The 25,547-nt window shown below is 41.8% G+C and overlaps 1 protein-coding gene across 8 annotated transcripts in view; it reads right to left on the bottom strand.

Moving 5' to 3' along the window:
- Positions 1–25,547, bottom strand: part of SIMC1 (SUMO interacting motifs containing 1) — a 107,566-nt gene that overhangs the window by 7,520 nt on the left and 74,499 nt on the right. For 7 of the 8 annotated variants that reach the window (NR_131772.2, NM_001308196.2, NM_001308195.2 and 4 more), the window contains 5 exons: positions 24,625–24,779; positions 16,045–16,197; positions 13,713–13,841; positions 1,594–1,750; positions 1,324–1,408 (listed from right to left, as the gene is read on the bottom strand). Coding sequence is in view for 7 of the 8 variants with exons in the window: in NM_001308196.2 (NP_001295125.1) it covers positions 1,324–1,408; positions 1,594–1,750; positions 13,713–13,841; positions 16,045–16,197; positions 24,625–24,779 (679 nt within the window). In the remaining variant the exon portion in view is untranslated. Of the gene's footprint in view, positions 1–1,323; positions 1,409–1,593; positions 1,751–13,712; positions 13,842–16,044; positions 16,198–24,624; positions 24,780–24,985; positions 25,347–25,547 lie in introns of those variants that run through there. The other variant, NM_001308200.2, reaches the window with a different exon arrangement.

The following is a 25,547-nucleotide window of genomic DNA, read 5'->3' as shown; positions in this document are numbered from 1 at the left end:
TACAGCCTTGCCCTGCTAGTTTGTTCTATGTTCCTTGGACTCACACTAAGCAACTTAGTGTGTCCTAGAGCCTCAAGGCTCTAGGACATGCTGTTCTTTCTTTCTGGAAAACTCTCGTCTCCCCATTTATGACTTCTTTTCTCCTGTTCAGGATCCAGCCTAGGGTCATGCCTTGTATGTAGTATTTATGTGCTTTAGTTTCTTTTAAATGTGGAAGAGTATCTCAGTCTGTCTTTGTTTTTAAAACACTGGCACTTTAAAAAAGTACAGGTCAGTTATTTTATAAAAGGTCACTCAATCTGGTTTTGTCTGAAGTGTCCTGGCCATTGGATCCAGGTCATGAACTTTTGGCAAGAACATTACATACATGATGATGCATCCTTCTCCGTCAATCACATCCAGGAAGAATGCCAGGTTTCTCCCCTAGCAAGTTACTATTTTTCCTCTAGTAATTAATAATTCATCAGTTCTTCAGTTTCCCCACAGGCCTCATTAATCCTTGGCTAATAAAATCATTCTCATTTGAAGCAGCTATTCCATCATTATCCTGGTCAACATTTACCTTCTGAGGGTTACCTGGTCTAACTCTCCTACATCGTCATTGGTCACTGGCTTCACCTGTGACCCAAGCAGCTCTGAAGAGCCACTTTCATAGACTTAGAGTACCTTACATCTTCTGCAAGATGTACATGTTCACCTTGCTCCTGATTTGCTCTGTACTTACATTGTATTGACGGATGTTTACAATGTTTACAATGTCCACAGTCAGTGAGCAAAGATGCTGCAGTGACAGGCCAAGGGAGGATGCCAGGGGTCTTCAGGCATTCCTGAGTCCTTCTCAGGTTCTGATGACTTCTCTTTTTTTCCGCCCCCCTTGAGACAGGGTCTCACTCTGTTGCCCAGGCTGGAATGCAGTGGCATGATCTTGGCTCACTGCAACCTCTGCCTCCTGGGTTCAAATGATTCTCCTGCTTCAACCTCCTGAGTAGCTGGGAGTACAGGCATACACCACCACGCCTGGCTAATTTTTGTATTTTTAGTAGAGACAGGGTTTCACCATGTTGGCCAGGCTGGAGGTTCTGATGACTTCTGCTTACCTACACAATCTTACAACTATGAGGACCATGTATTGTCGGCCATAACAAGAATATGTGAATTCTTTTCACAGTGGTGACTCCGGCTATGTCATTTCTTATCCCTTATAATAAGTTACATACAACCAAGGAACAATGTCAACAAATCAGAATATCCTGTGTAGTTATGACTAATACAAATGTCCATTGAGACCTTCCACTACTCCACTTGTGAACAAATGCTCCTTACCTCTTAAAACATGTTGATAACTGGACAGCAGAAACTGCAGATGCTCAACCAATTCGTCCCAAGTCTGCCACTGGCTTTTATCTGACTGCAGAGATAGTAAAATGGATTGATAATAAATGCCTTCCCCAGTTAAAATTTTTGTACAGTTTTCAATTCACCTTTACAGAATGCTCAAACAGTTGTGTTTTAAGCTAAAATCCTATGGGAAGGGTTCGGGCCTAGAGCAAAGAGAGGTGCTCTAGGCCTGAAATTGGGCAGGAAAAAATGTACCTGACACTTGAGCAGTGACGTAGAATTATTCAGAAAGTAGAGGGCCTGGGCCAGAGACAGAGGCAGGCGGGTGGGTGTCTCACAGCTGTGGAGGAATATGATTTCTAACACTTTGCAGCGCAGAAGGTGGCTTTCCATGGTAGTAAAGAACATTTCTCTGTGTGGAGAAGAGGAAGAGGGAGTTAATCATCACAACTATGCTTCAAAGAACATGAGCCACAATTCACCCTGAATGTACAACATTTGTCCTAAAAAAGACAGTTAAGAAGGAATACCATGGAAGCCCACAGAATCACAAAACCTGTGGACAGGGTAGAAATGGGTTTGTTGGATTAGCAACTGCTAGAATGAGGAAAAAGTCTTTCACATTTGACAAAGACAAGTTTAGGACACATTAAAAATAATTACTACACATTGTCACTATGAAAATTAATCATGAGAATATTTCTGAATGCCAATGATGTGCCAAATACTATTTGGCACAACAAGGAATATTAAGATAAATAAAAGGAACCACTCTCAAAAAGCTGATAGTTGAACAGGGGCAAGGGGTATGCAAAAGGAACTTTAAAAAGTGCAGGGCAAGTGTACTTGTATGCAAAGTGCTAGTGGTGCTCCAGAGATACACAGAAGAGAGCACATTTGGGGACTGGAAGTGGCCTTCCTATGGAGGCAGAAGCACTGGTGAGAGTGGTCTACGAGGGGCAAAAAAGGCTCAACGCAGGAGGTATTTCTCTCTTTCTTTCTCTTGCTTTCTAATCTCTCTCTCTCTCTCTCTCTCCCCCTCCCTGCCTCCCTCCCTCTCCCTTCATCCCTCACCCCACCCCTGCCTTTCTGACAGGTCTCACTCTGTCATCCAGGCTGGAGTGCAGTGGTGTGATCATCACACACTGCAGCTTCAATCTCTTGGGCTCAAAGTGATCCTCTGACCTCAGCCTCCCAAGTAGCTGGAACTACAGGAGTGTGCCACTGTCCCTGGCTAATTATTATTTTTTTTGTAGAGATGCGGTCTCACTATGTTGTCAGGGCTGGCCTCAAACTCCTGGGCTCAAGCAATCTTCCCACCCTGGCCTCCCAAAGTGTTGGGATTACAGGCGTGAGCCACTGTGTCTGGCCATAGTATTTTTTTATTTGAAACTATTTTCTCTTCTAATTTTTGTGCCAGGGCTTGCTTTATAATCTGCAGATGGTAAACTCAGAGATCTACAAAGGACAAGGACATAATTTCAATATATGGAACACAGTAGGAACTGTACGTAGAATTACCTAGAGCAATTCAAATTAAAAATTTAAAAACAAGGCCGGGCGTGGTGGCTCATGCCTGTAATCCTAGCACTTTGGGAGGCCGAGGCGGGTGGACTGCCTGAGCTCAGGAGTTCGAGACCAGTCTGGGCAAAAACGGTGATACCCTGTCTCTACTAAAACACAAAAAATTAGCCAGGCGTGGTGGTGTGCACCTGTAGTCCCAGCTACTTGGGAGGCTGAGGCAGGAGAATCGCTTGAACCTGGGAGGCCGAGGTTGCAGTGAGCCAAGACTGCACCACTGCAATCCAGCCTGGGCAACACAGCGAGACTCAATCTAAAAAAAAAAAAAAAAAAAAAAGATACAAAGAAAGGCCAACATCTAGATCCAGCCTCAACACAGTAACTGATGTTGGACTTTCCTTTCTGTCATAATCAATGATAAAACCAGAGGAAATATAGAAAACAACCATTTTCAGGCATTAGAGAACTTACTACAAAGGACTGTGATGATTATTATTATTATTTTTTTTTTTTTGAGACAGAGTTTCGCTCTTTTGCCCAGGCTGGAGTGAAGTGGCCTGATCTCAGCTCACTGCAACCTCCACCCCCACCCCCCGGGTTCAAGCAATTCTCCTACCTCAGCCTCCTGAGCCGCTGGGATTATAGGCACCCACCACCATGCCCAGCTAATTTTTGTATTTTTAGTAGAGACATGTTTCACCATGTTGGCCAGGCTGGTCTCGAACTCCTGACCTCAGGTGATCCACCCCAACTGCCTCCCAAAATGCTAGGATTATAGGCATGAGCCACTGTGCCCTGCAGGACTGTGATTCTTGAGAGAAGAGAAACAAAGGTGGTAAACTTCATGTACTCCAGATTTCTTGCTGGGGGCACTTTCTAATGAAGGCAGAGGAAGGTGTGGGTCTAAAATAGAAGAGAGGGGGCTTCTTGGGCAGACAAAACAGAGGCTGGAGTTTAGGACAGCTGAGGTGTCTAGAATTTGTGTCAGAGAATAGGGTGCTCAGGAAATGTGTGTAAGGGAACCTGTTGGCACATGTGTAGGGGAAGCCCCAAAAGCCTGGTGGAGAACAGCTACTGGGGGGTTGCAAGCTGGCTGGGAATTCTGGAGATCTCAGAGTGCTGAAAGATACTGGTGTTTCAAGGAGTCAGTGTGGAGAGATCTCACTGAATATCCTGGACATTCAGTTGAGACCCCAGAAAGATTAAGCCTCAAGAATGTAGCTCCTTAATAAGGGCTGCTGTGGAACCAACCTCACAAATCCTAGAAACAAGCCTCAACAGGAAAAAGCTAATCTGCCAGCAAATTAACTGCCTGCCAGAATAAAAGTCAATACTCTTTAAAGAAAGAGAGCAAAATCCAGACTCTCAACAATGTAGTGCCCACAATGTCCAGAACACAATAAAAATTACCAGACAAGTAAAAAAAGCAGGAAGATGTAATTCATAACCAGGAGCAAATGTCCATAGAAACAGACCAAGAGGTGACATACATGTTGGAATTAGTTGTGAGGGGCTTTTAGACAACTATTATAAATATGTTCAAGATTTTCAAAAGCAAGCAAGTAAATTAAGATGTACATAATGAGTGACTAGATGAAGACTTGCAGCAAAAAGAATAAAAAGGAACCAAATGTTAACTCTAGTTCCAAAAAAAAAAAACCAATAATAGACTTAACAGCAGATTGGGCACTGGGGGAATTAAAAAAATGGATTTTAAAGACTATTGAGAGAGAAAGAGAGAAAACAAAATAAATGAAACTAAACAGCAATAGAAAAAAACAGAGCCTCAGTGATCTGTGGAACAGATCTATATGTACACTTAGATTCCCAGAAGATAAGAGAGGTTGGGGCAAAAAAAAAAATATTAAAAATCTGTATTTAGGCCAGGTACAGTGGCTCACACCTGTAATCCCAGCACTCTGGGAGGCCCAGGTGGGGGAATCAACTGAGGTCAGGAGTTCAAGACCAGCCTGGCCAACACGGTGAAACCCCGTCTCTACTAAAAATACAAAAATTAGCTGGGCGTGGTGGTGCGCACCTGTCATCTCAGCTACTTGGGAGGGTGAGACAGGAGAATCACTTGAGCCTTGGGAGGCAGAGGTTGCGGTGAGCTTAGATTGCACCACTGGACTCCAGTCTGGGCGACAGAGTGAGACCCTATCTCAAACAAAACACAACAAAACACCAAAAAAACCCCACAACCTGGATGAATCACCAGGGAATTATGCTGAGTGAAAAAAAGCCAGTCCCAAAAGGTTATATACCAAATGATTCCATTTATATCATTTTCTTTTTCTTTTTATGTTTGAGATGGACTCTTGCTCTGTCGCCCAGGCTGGAGTGCAGTGGTGCAATCTTGGCTCACTGCAACCTCTGCCTCCTGTGTTCAAGTGATTCTCCTGTCTCACCCTCCCAAGTAGCTGAGATGACAGGTGCGCACCACCACGCCCAGCTAATTTTTGTATTTTTAGTAGAGACGGGGTTTCACCGTGTTGGCCAGGCTGGTCTTGAACTCCTGACATCAAGTGATCTGCCCACCTTGGCCTCCCAAAGTGCTGGGATTATAGGCGTGAGCCATTGTGCCTAGGCCATTTATATCACATTCTTGAAATGACACAAATATAAAAAATGGAAAACAGATTAATGGTTGAAAGGGGTTAAGAAAGGGGTTGGGATGGGAGGGAAGTGGGTGTGGCTATAAAAAGGCAAGAAGAGCAATCCTTGAAGTGATGGAAATGTTCTATATCTTGGCTTATGTCAATCACAATATCCTGGTTGTGATACTGTACTATAGTTTTGTAATATATTACCATTGGGGGAAATTGGAAAAAGATTATCTGGGTTGTCTCTGAACTCTTTAATAATTTTAATATTGAATAAAGTTTATATTTATTTTTATCCAATAATATGTAATATTGAATACAATATTTATCTAATACTATTTAATATTTAACATTCCTTAAAATTGCATGTGAATTTACAATTATGTCAAAATAAGATTTTAATCTAAAAATAAACTAAGGCCAGGCACGGTGGCTCATGTCTGTAATCCCAGCACTGTGGGAGGCTGAGGCGGGTGGATAACCTGAGGTCGGGAGTTCGAGACTAGCCTGACCAACACGGAGAAACCCCGTCTCTACTAAAAATGCAAAGTTAGCCGGGTCTGGTGGCGCATGCCTGTAATCCCAGCTACTTGGGAGGCTGAGGCAGGAGAATCTCTTGAACCCGGGAGGCGGAGGTTGTGGTGAGCTGAGATCGTGCCATTGCACTCCAGTCTAGGCAACAAAAGCAAAACTCTGTCTCAAAAAACAAGCAAACAAACAAAAACAAACAAAAAGATTTTAATTTAAAAAAGAGAACTAAAAGCCAACAGGAGAGATAAAATGGAATAATAGAAAATCTTCAATCAATCCAAAAGCCAGAAGAGGAAGAAAGAACAAACAGGAAACAAATAGTCAGATTACAGGTATAAAACCAATACTTATATTAAAGAGCAGGAATTTTCAGCTGGCTAAAACAACAAATGCCAACTATATACTGTTTACAATAAACATAACCTTTTTTCTTATCTTTTTGTATTGACAATTTCAGACATACTGAATTGCAAGAATAATGCAAAGTTTGTGTTTGTTTGTTTTTTTTTTTAGACAGTCTTGCTCTGTTGCCCAGGCTGGAGTGCAGTGGCACAATCTTGGCTCACTGCAGCCTCGGCCTCCTGGGTTCAAGCGATTCTCCTGCCTCAGCCTCCTGAGTAGCTGAGATTACAGGCGCCCGCCACCACACCTGGCTAATTTTTGTATTTTTAGTAGAGATGGAGTTTCACCATGCTGGCCAAGCTGGTCTTGAACTCCTGACCTCAGCTGATTCGCCCACCTTGGCCTCCCAAAGTGCTAGGATCACAGGCATGAGCCAACTGCATCTGGCCTACCACATCTTCTTTATCCATCTGTCTGTCTGTTTTTCTTTGAATTATCTGAGAGTAAGTTGCAGACATAGGGCTGGGTGCAGTGGCTCATGCCTGCAATCCCAGCACTTTGGGAGGCCAAGGTGGGTGGATCACTTGAGGACAGGAGTTCGAGACCAGCCTGGCCAACATGGTGAAACCCTTTCCCTACTAAAAATATAAAAATTAGCAGGGCATGGTGGGGGCACCTGTAATCCCAGCTACTCAGAAGGCTGAGGCAGGAGAATTGCTTTACATTGCTTTGTCTTTCATGATACTGACTTTTTTTTTTTTTTTTTAGACAGAGTCTCGCTCTGTCGCCCAGGCTGGAGTGCAGTGGCGCGATCGCGGCTCACTGCAAGCTCCGCCTCCTGGGTTCACGCCATTCTCCTGCCTCAGCCTCCCGAGTAGCTGGGACTACAGGGGCCTGCCACCATGCCTGGCTAATTTTCTGTATTTTTAGTAGAGACGGGGTTTCACTGTGTTAGCCAGGATGGTATTGATCTCCTGACCTCGTGATCCACCCGCCTTGGCCTCCCAAAGTGGATACTGACATTTTTGAAAAGCACATGCCAGTTTTTTTCAAGGAACATCTCTCATTTGACATTAGGCTGAACTTTTCCCATGAATGGATGAAGGTTATACATTTTTGGCAGTACTGAAAAAATGGTGTTTTGTTGTTCTCAATGCCTTGTATAAAAAGGCACATGACATCAATTTGTCCCATTGTTGGTGTGAACTTTGATCACTTGACTATGGTAGTGTCTCCATTGTAAAGTTGCTATTTTTCCCTTTGTAATAAATAAGTATCTTGTGGGAACATACTTAGAGACCATGCAAATATCTTGTTACTCCACAATCTTTCACCATGTTAGTATCCATTCACGTCTGAATATTATGATGGTTGCCAAACAGTATTTCTGCCTAATTCATCATTTTTTCTAACATTAGTTGGCTTTTTACTGTAAGAAAGGGGGTCCCGTCTCTTTCTTCCTATCAGCACTGGAATCACAGATTCCTATTTTATTCAACAGATAATATTATTTTACTGTCAATATTCATTTTGGAGCTCAAATTATTCCAGATTTGGTCACTGAAAGCCCCTTTAAGCTGACTCCTGTGTCTTTTGACATGTTCTGAATAGTCTTTGAATATTTCCTTACTTTGTGGCACAAGATGTTCCAGGCTCATCTTGTACTTTACCTAACACAGTTCTGGAGTTAGTCATTCCTTCAAGGAATTCTGGTTCCCTTTTTTTTTTTTTTTTGAGATGGAGACTTGCTCTGTTGCCCAGGCTGGAGTGGAGTGGTGCGATCTCAGCTCACTGCAACCTCCACCTCCTGATTTCAAGCGATTCTCCTGCCTCAGGCTTCCAAGTAGCTGAGATAACAGGCGTATGCTACCATGCCCAGCTAATTTTTTTATTTTTAGTAGAGACAGGGTTTCACCATGTTGGCCAGGCTGGTCTCGAACTCCTGACCTCAAGTGACCTGCCCACCTTGGCCTCCCAAAGTGCTGGGATTACAGGCGTGAGCCACCACACCTGGCCCTGGTTCCCTTTCATGTAAACTGGAATTTAAAAACAAAGATCTGGGTATGAGGTGTGCTCCACTGCTACTAAGATATAATTGCTTCCATGCTCTCTCAGTGGGCAGAGGTAGGAAACATATGTATGAATACACACAGACGTATGTGTATATATAATATATGTAAACAAGCCCTCACACATCTACATCTATTCCTATCTCTATATTTATTAGAAACCACAAGTTCATACTGATACCTCCAATTCCAATCCAGTACCACAGGGTTCATTCTATCCTTTCCCCTTTTCATATGTGTAAATCTTTTCTCTGACAGTGAGAAACTTGGCACTCAGTATTCACAATATATTTATTTGTTTAATCCTAGAATACACATAAAATCGTTTTTGAATTGTATATCTATATCTCTGCGAAAAAGAAACCTACTAACTAGAGTTCAGTTCATTTTGTCTTTACCATTATGACATTTAGTCCAAATATTGTGTTTTAAGTTACTTTGACACAGTCAGAGAACAGATTAGCGTTTGCCAGTAGCTGGGAGGATGGATGATTGTAGCTATAAAAGGGTAGCACAAGGAATCCTTGTGATGATGGAATAGCTATACATTTTTTTTTTTTTTTTTTTTTAAAGAGGGAGTCTCGCTCTTTCGCCCAGGCTGGACTCTTTCGCCCAGGCTGGACTGCAGTTGCACTATCTCTATCTCTGCTCACTGCAAGCTCCGCCTCCCGGGTTCACGCCATTCTCCTGCCTCAGCCTCCCGAGTAGCTGGGACTACAGGCGCCCGCCACCGCACCCGGCTAATTTTTTGTATTTTTAGAAGAGACGGGGTTTCACCGTGTTAGCCAGGATGGTCTTGATCTCCTGACCTCGTGATCCGCCAGTCTCGGCCTCCCAAAGTGCTGGGATTACAGGCGTGAGCCCCCGCGCCCGGCCAGAACAGTTATACATCTTGACTGCGGTGACGGTCATAAAAATCTACACAGGTAATAGAACTAAAAAGAGCTTCACACAAATGAGTGCATGAGAATGGGTAGAACTGAATAAAGTCTGGGATTGTACCAATGTAAATTTCCTATTTGTGATATTGTACTATAGTTATAGTTCCCCTTGTATCTAGGGGAAAACAGTGTAAAGGATATACACTACTTCTAATAGGTTTTGCAATTTCCTGTGAATCTACAATTTTTTAAAATAAAATAAAAATAAAAGGTTAAAAAAAAGTTACCTGGGCCTGTCCCTCCACCCCTTCCATTTTTATTGATTAATTACCAACAGGATTTTGCTGTGTTGCCCAGGCCAGCCTCATACGCCTGTGCTCAAGTGATCCTCCTACTGGAGCCTCCTGAGTAGTTGGAACTGTGGGTGCATGCCACCATGCTAGCTCTCCTTTATTTTATTAAAATACAGTTAGGTTAACTTGTTTCTGTTTGTATTCCATTTTTGGCACCCTGTGAACTTGATTTTTTGAGTATGTAAAACATTAAATTTATGCCCAGTGTTCCATTATTGGAACGCTAAACTTGTGAGAGTTATTTGTATCCTACTGCTCAAGGTCATTGCCCAGGTCTGATTTTTCACACAAAAAATGTTGAACCCCAGGCATAAATGGGTTAACATGACTCTAAAAAGTGTTTACAGCCACACAAAAAGGCATACTCAGGGAAGTGTTTACCACCACCACCACCACTGCCACCATTACCACCGAGCCCAGTACCTTTTCTCCTTTTTATCCCATTCCCACCCACTCTCTGTATGTAAGCAATTTTATTAGTCTGTGGCTTACCTTAACTTTGTTTCTTTTTTAAACAAATGATCAGAATCATGTATATTTTTATCATTTTTTTACAAAAAGATATGTATATTTAATATAATATTATTTTGCATTTTGCTTTTTAAACTTATTTTAGAATTCAGTTCATAAGGCTGGGCCTGGTGGCTCACACCTGTAATCCCAGCATCTTGGGAGGCTGAGGTGGGCAGATCATCTGAGGTCAGGAGTTCGAGACCAGCCTGGCCAACTTATCTTTCTTTTAAATATGCATAAGGAAACATGGAAAACATTAAACATTACAGGAAAATAAAACTACAGGTCAATATCCCTTGTAAACATTGATGCAAAAATCCTTAACAAAATATTAGCAACTTGAATCCATCAATATATAAGAAGGATAACATCACAACCAAGTAGGGTTTTTATTCCAGGAATGCAAAGTTGGTTTAACGTGAGTAAATTAATCAGTGTATTACACCACATCAACAGAATAAAGAAGAAAAACTATGATTATCTCAATAGATGGAGACAACATATTTGGCAAATTTCAATACTTATTCTTCGTAAAAATAATACACTAGAAATGGAAGGAAGCTCCCTCAAACTGACAAAGGGCACCTATGAAACATTTATAGCTAACATCACACTTAATAGTCAAAAACTGAATGTTTTCACCCTAAGATCAGGAATGGGGCAATAATGTCTACTCTCACTGCTTCTCCAACATTTTCCTGGAGATTCTAGCCTATGCAGTATGGCAAGAAAAAGCAAGCAAAAGGCATACACAGATTGGGAAGGATACAGTTAAAGTGTATTTTTAGACAACGTGATTGTGTATGTAGAGAATCCTAAGGAAAACAAACAAAAATCCTACTAGAATAAGTTAATTTATTAAGGTTGCAGGGTTTCTATACACTACTAATGAGCAATTGGAAAATGATAGGTCAAGAAGGTATATGCATTTGTCAAGACTCACTGGATGGTATGTATGCAAGCTAGTTTACATAATTTAATTGTATGTAAATTATACTTAATCTTTAGAAAATTAAAATAAATCAAGGTAAAGGCCAAGTAAAGTATCTTTTAGCATAATTTGGGTGAGTGGCCAATTTGCCCCTCTGAGAGAATTTTAAAGTAGGGCCAGGTTTTGTATAAATCATGTTTGTCTGTTTTAATTCCTAATTTTTTTTTGTTACCTATTCCTTAGCTTTCCCATTTCTTACCAGCATCTGGGCTTACATGAATGAATAGTAGAGGAGTTGGACCCAAATGAAATACTCCTGACAAAGTGTTAGAGCAAGCATGGTATTCATGTGCACTTTCTTCTGTCTGACCAGTACAACACACTGCCTCCTTTGAATATTGAATTTGGGATTAAGCAGCCCTGGGTTTAAATTTGGATTCTGAACCTGATTAGCTACATAAACTTAGGCTAGTTAACTCCACCTCTTTGAATGCTTTTCTTATTCATTAAATAGAGATAACATTGCCAGGTGTGGTGGTTTACGCCTGTAATCCCAGCACTTTGGGAGACTGCGGTGGGCAGATCACCTGAGGTCAGGAGTTTGAGACCAGCCTGGCTAACATGGTGAAACCCCATCTCTACTAAAAATACACAAATTAGCTGGGTATAGGGGCATGCACCTGTAATCCCAGCCACTCAGGAGGCTAAGGCAGGAGAATCACTTGAACCCAGGAGGCAAAGATTGCAGTGAGCTGAGATCCCACCACTGTACTCCAGCCTGGGTGACAGAGTGAGACTCTGCCTCAAAACAAATAAATAAATAAATAGGGATAACATTATAAGAAAAATAAATAAGGTTGGGTGCGGTGGCTCATGCCTGTAATCCCAGAACTTCGGGAGGCTGAGGCAGGAGGATTGCTTGAGCCCAGGAGTTCAAAACTAGCCTGGGCAACATAGCAAGACCCTGTTTCTAAATTATAAAGAAAAAGAAAAAGAAAAAAAAAACAGAAAACAAATGAGATAATTAATGTGACAATGGCTGGCACATTGTAGGGACTCAGTAAATGTCTCAATCTTACCAGAGTATTTTAATTAAGTCCTATTCCAGTACTATTTGGCATGACATTTTCTTGTAATAGAAGAAACCAAAGCTGCACAATAGTTGTCTTGGTTGTCAGCTGGGAGTTTAGGGATGGGGATGGGAAGCACGCATGGAGCTGGTGGAGATGCACTGAAGACAAACATATACCATAATTTCCCCAAGGGTCACCACTACGCAATGACTCTCTTATACTTATTTCCTGTACCAGCAATTGTTCATGAATTCATATTCATTCTAGTTTAGTTTTCTTCCTCTGGATTTTAAAATTACTGGGTCAAGGAAGGAATCATTGTTTTTAGCCAAAAACCATTTCTTTATCCCTTCCTAATGAAATACTTCACTAATTCATGTTTAGAGAAACTGAATTCCTAATTCTTACTATCTGGGGTCATTCTATAGGTCCAACTCTTTTCATTCTTGTGTCACCTCTAGTTCCTCTAATATTGGATATATCTATTTCATTCACCCACCAAGCCTTTAGTGAACACTTATGCCAGGCCTATGGATAAAGATAAGAGAAGAAGGCAGGGCTTAACAGTTAAATTTTTATTTTTATTATTTATTTAATTAATTAAGTAATTAATTTATTATTTATTTTTTGAGACGGAGTCTCGCTCTGTCACCCAGGCTAGAGTGCAGTGGCGCCATCTCAGCTCACTGCAAGCTCCGCCTCCAGGGTTCACACCATTCTCCTGCCTCAGCCTCCTGAGTAGCTGGGACTACAGGCGCCTACCACCACACCCGGCTAATTTTTTTGTATTTTTAGTAGAGACGGGGTTTCATCGCATTAGCCAGGATGGTCTCGATCTCCTGACCTCGTGATCCGCCCGCCTTGGTCTCCCAAAGTGCTGGGATTACAGGTGTGAGCCACCACAGCCGGCCTTTATTTTTATTTTTTTTGAGATGGAGTCTCACTCTGTCACCCAGGCTGGAGTGCAGTGGAGCAATCTCAGCTCACTGCAACCTCCACCTCCTGGTTCAAGCGATTTTCGTGTCTCAGCCTCCTGAGTAGCTGAGATTATAGGTGTGCACCACCACGCCCAACTAATTTTTGTATTTTTAGTAGAGACAGGGTTTCACCATGTTGGCCAAGGCTGGTCTTGAACTCCTGACCTCAGGTGATCTGCTCGCCTAGTCCTAGTCCTCCCAAAGTGCTGGGATTACAGGTACGAGTCACTGCACCCACCCTTAACAGTTAAATATTGAAAGAAGAGTAAAATTGTTAGGCAAATTGATAAGGTTAGAAAATTTAGCCTCCATTTAGGGTACTGTGCCTCTTCCCAAGAAATTATATCTCAGTTGTAAATAATAATAATTAGTTGAGAACCTCCTTTCCAAAAGTCAAAGACATAAGAATAATCCTTCTACTATTTTCTTCCTATCTTAATTAGTTTGGAATTTTCTCTTGTAAAATTCTGTTCCTGACAGGTAGCATAGATAGAAAAGTTAATTTAATAAAAATGATTTCCAAGAGTTTTTTTTGTTTTTTTTTTAAATAACTGCTCTCCCCAACAAAATCAAGACTCACCTCTGGCTCCTCTCAGGAATGTCCAGCACAAACCCAAACATCATCTCGGCAATTTTATTGGAGCTGCAGGTGGGGGTCCTGTCCACCTCTACGGCTATGGAGAGCATCCTCTGAAGCTGGCACACAATCCTGAGTCCAGAACATAGGACACAGATGAGTGTGAGGGTCTGGCAAGGAGCCACTCTCTGGCTGGGAGGAGGTCCCCACCAGTGTACATCGAGAGTAGAGACTACTAAAGGATCTTATAAAGCACACACAAGGTCAGGGAGAACTACTCAAACCATCAGCATGCTTTTATTTAGCAATTTCACCTACCTGAATCCCTTTTGCCAGAACATACTATTTGAACCTCTCAGAACCTGGGGTTGAGCTGTAAAAGCAAGCTGCTTTTAAATTCAAAAATAGAACCACACAACCTTAAGGATATAGGGAACTATAAGGATCATCTAATCTATAACTTCCCTGTTTTGCAGATGAAGAAACAGGTCCAGAGTGACTTAAAATGATTTAAATTTCTTTGATACAGGAGAAAATATGTATTTGCCATACAGTTTTCTCCTGTTACTGTTTCCTTTACAATAGCTTCTTACTAAGTTCGGTCTCAGAACCTCCCCTGGTGGAACCTGACCTTCTCTCCCATTAGATCTAACTGTGGGAGAGAGCCAGCCTGATGTGGCATTAGGAGTCGGGGCAACCTCTCAGAAAGGTGAGCCTGGCCTGACATCAGCCTTTTCTAACACGTGTTTTTTTTTTTTTTTTTTTTTTTTTTTGAGATGGAGTCTAGCTCTGTCGCCCAGGCTGGAGTGCTGTGGCGCGATCTTGGCTCACTGCCAGCTCCGCCTCCCAGGTTCACTCCATTCTCCTGCCTCAGTCTCCTGAGTAGCTGGGACTACAGGTGCCCGCCACCATGCCCGGCTATTTTTTTGTATTTTTTTAGTAGAGACGGGGTTTCACCGTGTTAGCCAGGATGGTCTCCATCTCCTGACCTCATGATCCACCCGCCTTGGCCTCCCAAAGTGCTGGGATTACAGGCGTGAGCCACCACGCCCGGCAACACATGTTATCTGTGATGGAAGAAAGGTTTTACTTTAAGAAAATCTGCAGCTAGTAACACAACAGGTGGGCCAGACCAGCAGCTCTGGCCTCAGATTCTGTCTCTACAATGATAAGCTGTTTAACCTTCGACAAGTTACTAAACTGCCCTGAGTCCAAGTGTTCTCATCTATAAAAAGGGTGAGCAATAATATCTATTTTGTAAAGTTGTGAGTGCTATATAAAATATCTCACAGGGACTCTCTAGTGATAAGTGGTAGCAACCTACTATTGTTGTTAAGATCATAACAAAATTGACTTTTAGGGGACCCTATTGTTATTTCTACTAACATGTATTTATAAACATTTATTATGATGATTGTTATATGATACTAGCTTCCATTGAAGGAACAGTGTCCACCTCCCTCTTGGGTCTGTATGTGGCCCGTGTGGGAGAATGCTACTTTAGGGCCTTCCTCAATCTGTCCAAATGCTTCATTGTTCCAAAACATTCCCCTTTAGATATAAAATTGTTTCCTAAATTAGTTATAATTATTTACAATTTAGGAAACAATTTAAACTTGTAGGTCTTCCATAAAAATCAGGTTGGTGCAACCAGATTATAACATTGTGAATTCAGACACAAATGTTACATTTGAAATGCCCAGTGTGACTGGCTTTTCACAATATGATTGACATGGAATACTGGGTTATTTGTGCAAGGGTAGCCCCAGCCCCTAATCTCCCGGCATCTCTCAAAAAACGCCAAGACCACTCTCAACTCCATAAAAGAAATGCCATGAATTTCTTTCCAGTGCAGTCTGCGGTGATGATACCTGCCCTGGTGTGTTGGAACCTGCAGGCTGAATGCTATTTTTCTCCCGGGACCTGAGGAGAGAAACCCAGGTCCTTGAGGACTCGAGGTTAACAAAACTCACACTACACACCACTCCTTCTCTATGGCAACAGATATCTGAAGTGATGAGGAGCTGTAACCCTTTACTGTCTCCTGAAATGCAGGAAGTGAAGGGCAGTGTCCTCTAGCATTTGTTTTGCATCTGCGTTGTGACTTCGTATTCACTTTGTGAAGTCCTATTCATTTTAGGGGTGAAAGCACCTGGTTTTGTTCTGCCTTTGAAATCAGAAATTTAGCCTCTAGTTAAACTAAGTCTTGAATAAGCATCAGCCTATGTTCTAAGATCTTGTTAATTTGGGGGAAGCTGCTCTTAGGGATTGGTGTTGTTCTCTCTAAAACACTAAACCCCAAGAGCCCCAGGAAAGAGAACTGCCTGCCCCTTACAGCTGATTGGTGTTCTTTGTCAGGTTGGGCTGGGAAGAAGGGTGGCTACTGCTGGCTTTCAAGATTCCTGTTCCTGAAGACGTTTGATTTCCATTTGGGGGCTGAGTCAATCCATCTTCAGTTACTGCTTTGACCAGCCACTTGATAACATCCCTGTAATGGAAAAAAGAAAGAAAAGGTTTATTCTTTCTTTTTCTGTGCAGAAAAAAAAAATAAAGAAAGAAAAGGTTTCCATGTCTGTTGTATTTATGGTGCTCAGAACTATAGCCTTAACCTGGGCCCCCAGATCCCTGGATTTCCCTACAGGCAACAAAAGGGCCCTCTGGCTATTTTCAATAATTAAACAAGTCTAATAAAAACATCACATTTAACTGCAGTAAGGCTGTAAAAGTCAACTAAAGGCCAGGTATGGTGGCTGATGCTTGTAATCCCAGCACTTTGGGAGGCTGAGGTGGGAGGATCTTTTGAGACCAGGAGTTTGAGACCAGCCTGAGCAACACAGCAAGAACCCAACTCTACAAAAAAAAAAAAAAAAAAAAAGCTAACTAAAATATCAACATTTTTCTTTGAATTGTAAGTATTCAAAGGTAACTTCAGGGTAAAATAGTACTATCTGTGCCTTCCTGACCAGGAACATTCCTAAACCAAGTGGAAAGTTAGACTGGGTGACCACAGAAGTCCTTGCCAGCTCTATATTATTGTCACCTATTAATGTTAACAACTAAGGTTTAGAGTGTGTGCAGTGGAATCACACTTTATACAGGGCTGAGGCTCTACAAGTTAATAAGGTAAAAACATACAGTCAAAACTACTTTTAATGATCACTTAGGTAACCTAGGTAAAAATAGTAGATTTAATATACACACCGAATTTTGTTTCCTCCTAAAACCCCACTAATATTATAATAAATAACTTTTGAAAAATATCCACAAGGAAGAAGAGAAGAGGAGAGAAGATGAATAGCAGTGAGTTTTTTTTTTTTTTTAGGCAGAGTCTCGCTCTGTCGCCAGGCTGGAGTGCAGTGGTGCGATCTCGGCTCACTGCAAGCTCCGCCTCCCAGGTGATAGCAGTGAAATTTTGAAAGGTGGAAGGCAAATGAAGGATATGAGTATGAATATGACTATCAATATAAATAAACTACAGTGACAGGCAACAATATGGACAAATCTTGGTACTATAAAACAGTAAGTGAAAAATAAAATTCTCAATAGATTACATATAGCATGATACCTTTTAATATAGAGCTAAAGGAACTAAAGTAAAAAAATATATTTTATAGGAATACATGTATATGCAATACAACTACATAGAAAGGAAAGAAATGAAATGATGACCATGCAGAATGATGATCACCTGGGTGCAAGGTGGGTGATGAGGGGTGTAGAGATGGGTTCTGGCTATGTTGCTCAGGCTGATGGATGAGGGGTGAGGTAATTGTCAAGGGCTTAGTCTTTGATTTGGGAGTAGGTTGAGAGATGCTGATTACAAAATTAAAAGCAACCAATTAACTGAGCAAATAAAGCCACTGTGCCATGTTTTAAGATGACGTTTAATCCAAGCCTATGAATTAGGCAAAGGAATACATTTTAATTGACTTAGTGGAATTGAGAAAGCTGAATCCTAAGCCAGCAGCAGAGAAGAGCTATCCTATTTAATCCTATTTACTTAAAAAAAAAAAACTTCAATAGCTCTGCAAGCGGTAGCACCAGGTTTCTCTGAAGTGTTGAAAGAGGGGTAAATTGAAATATGTAGGTGGCGGCCAGGCATGGTGGCTCACTTTGTAATCCCAGCACTTTGGGAAGCTGCAGTGGGCAAATGGCTTGAGTCCAAGAGTTTGAGACCAGCCTGGGCAAAATGGTGAAAACCTGTTTCTACTAAAAATACTAAAAATTAGCAGGGCGTGGTGGCACGTGCCAGTAGTCCCAGCTACCCAAGAGGCTGAGGTGGGAGGATCACCTGACCCCAGGGAGGTCAAAGCTGCAGTGAGCTGTGATCGGGTTGCTGCACTCCAGCCTTGGGCAACCAGAGTGAGACTCCGCCTCAAAATAAATAAATAAATAAATAAATAAATAAATAAATAAATAAATAAATAAAATAGGATGGCTTGAAAGCTGTTTAATAAATTTTTAGACCTCTAGAACTTCCCCAATCCTGCAGACTACAAGTTAACTTTGTGGAGAGGTAAAACAGATGGTCTCTGGACTGGGATACCAGGCACGGCTTAGAAGCAGACACTGAAGCAAATGGGGCACTAAATGAACATAGGCATGCTGAATGCAGAGACCCTTGCTATCTTCTCACACGTGTCTTCCAAAACCTTGGCATCCTGTCTTTATCCTTCATGTAAGAGGTTGGATGTCCTCTCTGTAAAACCGAACCAGCGCAAGAGGAAAGACCTTGACTCAAGAAATTTTCTTAGAAATGAGAAATCAGTTCCACCTAGAGGGAAGTGCAGAAATGACAAGTCCTCTTATTGTCTTCAGAGCTTCCATTATCTTTTGAGTCTCGCACCTTTAAATATGGATAGACTATAAACTACCAAGGTTTACCAGACATCTATGGAAAGCTTTTAACATAAAGAGATAGAGACCAAAATACCCTCTCCTTCCTCCCAAAAAAGCAACTTGGAGAAAACAGACATTATGTAGAAGAGAAACAGAGAATAAACAAAAATGAAAATTCTGATTAGCAAAATCAAAGATACGAGATGACATGGATCCAGGAAAGAAGAAAATAAGAATACAGTTTATATTATTTTCTTTTGCAGAGTCAGGGTCTTGCTATGTTGCCCAGGTTGGTCTTGAACTCCTGGCCTCAAGTCATCTTTCCACTTTGGCCCCTGAAAGTGCTAGGATTACAGGCCTGAGCCACTGTGCCCAGCCTATTATTATTATTTTTTAGAGATGAGGGCTTGCTCCGTTGTCCAGGCTGGAGTGCAGTGGTGCCATCACAGCTCACTGAACTCCTGAGCTCAAGCGATCCTCCTGCCTCAGCCTCTCCAGTAGCTGGGACTACAGGCACATGCCGCCATGCCTGGCTTATTTATTAATTTTAATAAGGAAGACACAGAGAAAAAATAAAAGGGCTCTTGGAAATTAGAAAGATAATTACAAAAGTGAAAAATCCTGTTTATTAGAAATGAAGGACATTTTTCCAGACTGAAATGGCCCACTGAATGCCCAACCCAATGGATGAATATAAACCTAGGATAAGCACATTTGGCAAAAAGAGAACTTTACAAACTTCCACAGGGAAAAACCAGGGCACATACAAAGAATCAGTAATCAAAATAGCTTATGACTTCTTTTTTTCCCCCTGAGACAGGGTCTTGCTCTGACACCCAGGCTGGAGTGCAGTGGCACGATCTCAGCTCAGTGCAACCTCTGCCACCCAGGCTCAAGTGATCCTCCTATCTCAGCCTTCCGAGTAGCTGGGACCACAGGTGTGTGCCACTAAGCCCAGCTAATTTTTTGTGGTTTTGGTAGAGATGGGGTTTTGCCATGTTGCCCAGGCTGGTCTTGAACACCTGAGCTCAAAGTGATCCACCCACCTCGGCCTCCCAAAGTGCTGGGACTACAGGCGTGAGCCACCACGCCCGACTACTTACCATTTCTTAACAGCAATTCTGGAAGCTAGAAGACAATGAAAGATTTCCTCTGATGTTCTGTAGAAAAGTTATTTCTAAGCAAATCATCTATCCTCAGTCTAATTATCAATCAATGTATGAGAAGATAAAGACATTCGCAGACAAACAAGATCTCAAAAACTTTACTTCCTATACACCTTTCTTAGAAAGCTACTAGGAATGGATTCCTTAAATGAAGGTATGAGCCATGAAAGAGAAAAGACAGGACAAACAAACAAGTCATCCAGTCTTGAAAAGCATTAAAGAGGACTCTCAAATTTATGATGAAGACTGGAAAAGAGGACGAGTGATCTAGATTGAAGGAGATCAAAACATTCTACCTCAGATTTTTGAGAAGAAACTAGTAGGACAATCCAGTGTGAATAAATATCTTGAGGGGATATTGAGACCAACTGAGGCAAGAAAATAGGGTCTGGAGGCAGGGAACCTAAGGCCAATTCATGTTGAATTCCTAGAACTAAATCAAAAGGAAAACCCCAATTTTCCATGCCCAAGTAACAAAAGGACCAGAGGCTTCTCCCTTTGCAACCTTGCCCGCCTCCCTGCTTTTTCTGCGTGGCAGATGAAAAATTGAAAGTACCTCTGACTGGTCCCCTCCCACAACCAATCAGGCTGGTCATGGGCCAAGTCTTCATTTGCATAGGAGTATAACTTTGTAACTTCACTTCAGCCTCTGATTTGTCCCCTCCCACAACTAATCGAACTGATGGTGGGCCACTACTTCATTTACATAGGTTGTACATCAAGTACAATGGGAAACCTCTAGAAGGTATTTAAACCCCAGAAAATTCTGTAACCAGGCTCTTGAGTTGCTTGCTCGGGCCTGCTCCTACCCTGTGGAGTGTGCTTTCATTTTCAACAAATCTCTGCTTTTGTTGCTTCATTTTTCCTTGCTTTGTTTGTACATTTTGTCCAGTTCTTTGTTCAAGATGCCAAGAACCTAGACACCCTCCACCGGTAACACAACTAGGAGAGAATTTGGGGTTGAATTCTGATACATACAAGGAAAGCAAGAAACTTAAAAATAGGATAATTATTAACCTTAGGGAAAACAAAAAGATATGAATGAAAGGAAAAGCAATCACGGTTTAGTACTTAGTAAAATTCTGACTAGCACACATAGTCATAGTAATAGAAACACTGAACACTGATATAAAAATTATAATATATTAATGATATAGAGGCTGGCAAATATGTGTGTGATGGGGAATGTGGGGAGGAAAAAGAGCGAACTCCTTATTTTTCATGTGAGAAGTCAACAGATAATGGCTAACAATGAAAAATCAAGAAGCAGCACTGCAAGCATGTTATTTTGCCATATGGGGGTATATTTTGCCATATGGGGGTAAATATTTAAAAAATCAATTAAAGAGAAACAGGAATGCAGGTGAGGGAACCTGGAGACAAGTATATTTCTGAAGTCTTGTAGAAACTAGTCTACTCTTTGTATGCATAGTTCAAAATGAAAGAAAGAAAAGAAAATCCCTTAAGAAGGGTTCATATGGAGAATGATCATGTCTCTCTCTTTTTAAAAATACCTCTTTGAGGTATAATTTACATACAATAAATTGTCAAAGTTTTGTTTGATGAATTTAGATAAATATATGCATACATCCTTGTAATCACCAACTCAGTCTAATATCCATTTCTTAATGAATCAAAGATAGCTCATTTTCCTGCCAACTGAAACAAATGATTTTTTTCATTGAGTAAGCACAAAACAGAGGACCTGGCCTAGATTTAGAGGTCACAAACACCCCTCAAAAATGCCTATCTTTGTTGTTGTTGTTTTTGAGATAGAGTCTTCCTCTGTTGCCCAGGCTGAATTGCAGTGGTGCAATCCTGGCTCACTGCAACCTCTGCCTCCCAGGTTCAAATGATTCTCATGCCTCAGTCTCCCAAGTAGCTGGGATTACAGAAGTGCACCACCATGCCTGGCTGTTTTTGTACTTTTAGTAGAGGTGGGGTTTTGAGGCCAGGCTGGTCTCAAACTCCTGGCCTCATGTGATCCGCCCACCTTGGCCTCCCAAAGTGCTGGGATTACAGGCCTCAGCCACCATGTGCAGCCCAAAATGCCTTTATTTATTTTTGAGACAGAGTTTCCCTCTTGTTGCCCAGGCTGGAGTGCAATGGCGCGATCTCAGCTCACTGCAACCTCTACCTCCTGGGTTCAAGCAATTCTCCTGCCTCAGCCTCTCAAGTAGCTGGGATTACAGGTGCCTGGCACTATGCCTGGCAAATTTTTTGGGTTTTTTTTTTTTTTTTTGTATTTTTTAGTAGAGATGGGGTTTCACCATGTTGGCTAGGCTCATGTCGAACTCCTGACCTCAAGTGATCTGCCCACCTTGGCCTCCCAAAGTGTTAGGATTACAGGTGTGAGCCACCACGCCCAGCCTTAAATGCCTATCTTTAAACCCAAGAGTCATACCCCGTACAGTGAGAGGCTCACACCACAGGAGGTGAAAATGAAAGCAACTGAGAGAACAGTGCCTTGGGTATCCCACTCACTCTTAATGCCTAGGCTCGCAAAGCATAATGGTAGATGGAATTGTTCTCATTATGTAAATTATTTTTCACTTTTTAAAATTTATTTTTATTTGCTTTTGAGACAGAGTCTCGCTCTGTCACCCAGGCTGAAGTGCAGTGGTGTGATCTCGGCTTACTGCAACCTCTGCCACTCAGGTTCAAGCAATTCTCCTGTCTCGGTCTCCCAAGTAGCTGGGATTACAGGCACATGCCACCATGCCTGGCTAATTTTTGTATTTTTAGTAGAGATAGGGTTTCACCGTGTTGGCCAGGCTGGTCTTGAACTCCTGGGCTCAGGTGATCTGCCCGCCTTGGCCTCCCAAAGTACTGGGATTACAGGTGTGAGCCACTGTACCCGGCCAATTTTTTGCTTTAAAATTCAACTATGCTGTCTTGTGCTCTCTGTTGATTCTCTACTTACTGATTTTGTACCCCTAAAATTATTAACATTTAATCTTTAGAAAAAATATCACATATAGGGAAATAAATATGGGCATGTAAACTAAGGGGGTGGGAAAACTGAACAATGCCCAAAACATAACGAAACGTCCTCCTTGTTATTAGAGGATTTATCGTAGTCATTGCCCCATGTTGACCTGTGTATACTACTTTCAACAAATATGTCAGAACATATGAGAGCGTAAATGTGGAAGAGTTTCAATGCTGCTCTGAACAAAGAGACGCTGGTACACCCTTCTAGTAAGAGCCATTTCCAAAAAAGCAAGGGATGTTCGGATGCTCAACCTATGATGGGGTTACATCTGGATAAACCCATCTGATACAGCTTTGATATTTGACCTCTCCAAATCTCCTGTTGGTGTGATCTCCAGTGTTGGAGATGGGCTTAGTGGAAGATGTTTGGGTCATGGAGGCAGATCCTTCATAACTGTCTTGGTGCTGTCCTCATGGTAACGAGTGAGTTCTCACTCTATTAGTTCACTCGAGAGCCGACTGTTTGACAGAGGTTGGCACCATAGCCCCGCCCCCTGTCTTCCTTCCTCCCTTGCCAGGTGATACTCCAGCTCTCCTTCACCTTCTGTCATGAGTAGAAGCTTCCTGATGCCCTCACCAGAAACAGATGCTGGAGCCACGCTTCTTGTACAACTTGTAGAATTGTAAGCCAATAAACCTCTTTTCTTTATAAATTACCCACCCTCAGGCATTCCTTTATGGCAAAACAAAGGGACTAAGACACCACTGTAAGTTGAAAATATTTTAAGTTGAAAACACATTTAATGCACCCAATCTACCGAACATTGTAGCTTAGCCTAGTCTACCTTAAATGTGCTCAGAACACTGACAGCTTACAGTTGGGCAAAATCATGCAACACAAAAGCCTATTTTATAATAAAGTGTTGAACAGTTTATCTAATTTATTGAATACTATACTGAAAATGAAAAACAGAATGTTTGTTGGGTACTTGAGGTATAGTTTCTACTGAATGGTTATCAGTTCTGTACCAATGTAAAGTCAAAAAATCCTAAGCCAAACCATCATGAGTCAGGGCCATCTGTAGTTCCAAAAGGAAAATTCAAGCCCACAATCCCCTACCCTAAAGATCATATTTTCCCCCGCTTGGTATAAGCATATAGTAGTTCCATGCTTCCAGAAACTCTGACTCTGATTCTGCAAAAAAGAACACATGCTTACTATCTAATGTACCTTACTGTCAGCTACATGACCTATTGTTATAGATATTACTTTCCAGAAACTAGTAGTGACAAATGAGATTTATATTGAGGTTCATCGGGGGATAGGAATAAATGTAGGTTAATAAAAACTGAAAAGTTTTATATAAGGCTTTCCCCTAGATTTCACAAGGTTGTTTGGACAATATTGAAATAGACCAAAGGAAGTCTGTTGGTCTTGACAGAAAACTCATTCAAGCTATGTGGTGCCTGCCACATTGTTGGTTTCTTTTATGATTATCAGGAGGGGTTTATGATTAGCTATAGTTTTATTTTTAAAAATTAATTAATTATTTTTGAGATGGAGTCTTGCTCTGTCACCCAGGCTGGAGTACAGTGGCGCAATCTCGGCTCACTGCAACCTCTGCCTCCTGGGTTCAAGTGATTCTCCCACCTCAGCCTCCCAAGTAGCTGGAATTACAGGCATACGCCACCACGCCCTGCTAATTTGTATATTTTTAGTAGAGATGTGGTTTTGCCATGTTGGCCAGGCTGGTTTCGAACTCCTGACCTCAAATGATCCGCCCACCTCGGCCTCCCAAAGTACTGGGATTACAGGTGTGAATCACTGCACCTGGTCTATCTATAGTTTTAAAAATTAGCCCTATTACACTATCTACTGACTAGAAAACCTCACCTGGCTGATATTCTGGCCTTCAGCAGCTGCCCACCTATAATCCCTTACCTCTTCTCATCCGAGGGCTCAGGTGGCTGCTTACCTGACATTGTGGGGCTGCTTGTCACAGGAAAGCACCATGTTTGCAATGGATTGCTGCAGGTGCTGCCGTTGCCTCCTCAGGGTCTGCTGAAAGTCATCTTCTAGGGTCTGAACGACATAACGCAGGAAAAGGACTCGCCCAGGCAGAGTTTGTCCCTGTGGGAAAAAGAATGAGAAGTCAGTCTTTCTTCTCAGTCTCTTGGATGACAGTCAACATTGGGCTCTCATAAATACTAAGCCCAAGAGAAGGCCATGCATCAACAAGTATGCCTGTGCTTAAAAGAGAGGCTCCTAGGAGAGGGCAGGTAGTCTGGGTCATTATGAGAGAGGACAAATAGGGTGACTGCTGAAAAAAATCATACCTTATAAGGTTTCAGAAACCATTTTTTAAGTATTATTACTTGTTCAAAGGATCTAGGCATCTGCAGATAATTATAATTTTCTAACACCTAAGCTGCAATCAGATATCTACTGGAATCTCTAGGATTGTAGATCATTTGATTTAAGAGGCAGCCATGGGAAGTCAATCTCTCCCTCTCACTGAACCTATCAACCTCAGGATATACCCAAAACTACAGATGGCAAAACAGAGAAAGAGAAACTGGTTCTTTAATGACTCCTGTGCTGCTAGATCAAACCGCCATGATGTCCACTCTACTGATGAACTTCCAGTCATGCGAGCTGATTGAGCCAAGTCTGTTGGCTTGGCTCAACTTGACTGTTGGGCCAAGCCTGAGTTGGGTATTCTGTTACAGGTGAAATGATCCTAACTGACAAACAGTTAAAGAGCATGGGCTTTGGAGGCACGCAGCATTCAGTTTTTGTTGCTGTTTGTTTTAGACCTAGCTCTGTCCTTTATTTAAGCCCTCTAGGACTTACTGTCCTTCTAGTTTACACGGGGATAATTCTAACCTTACCAAAGAC

The sequence above is a fragment of the Homo sapiens genome, chromosome 5, assembly GCF_000001405.40.
Source record: "Homo sapiens chromosome 5, GRCh38.p14 Primary Assembly".
Lineage (NCBI taxonomy): Eukaryota > Metazoa > Chordata > Mammalia > Primates > Hominidae > Homo > Homo sapiens.
Note: the sequence above shows the minus strand (reverse complement) of the source record. Positions and strands in the feature narration are given on the sequence as shown.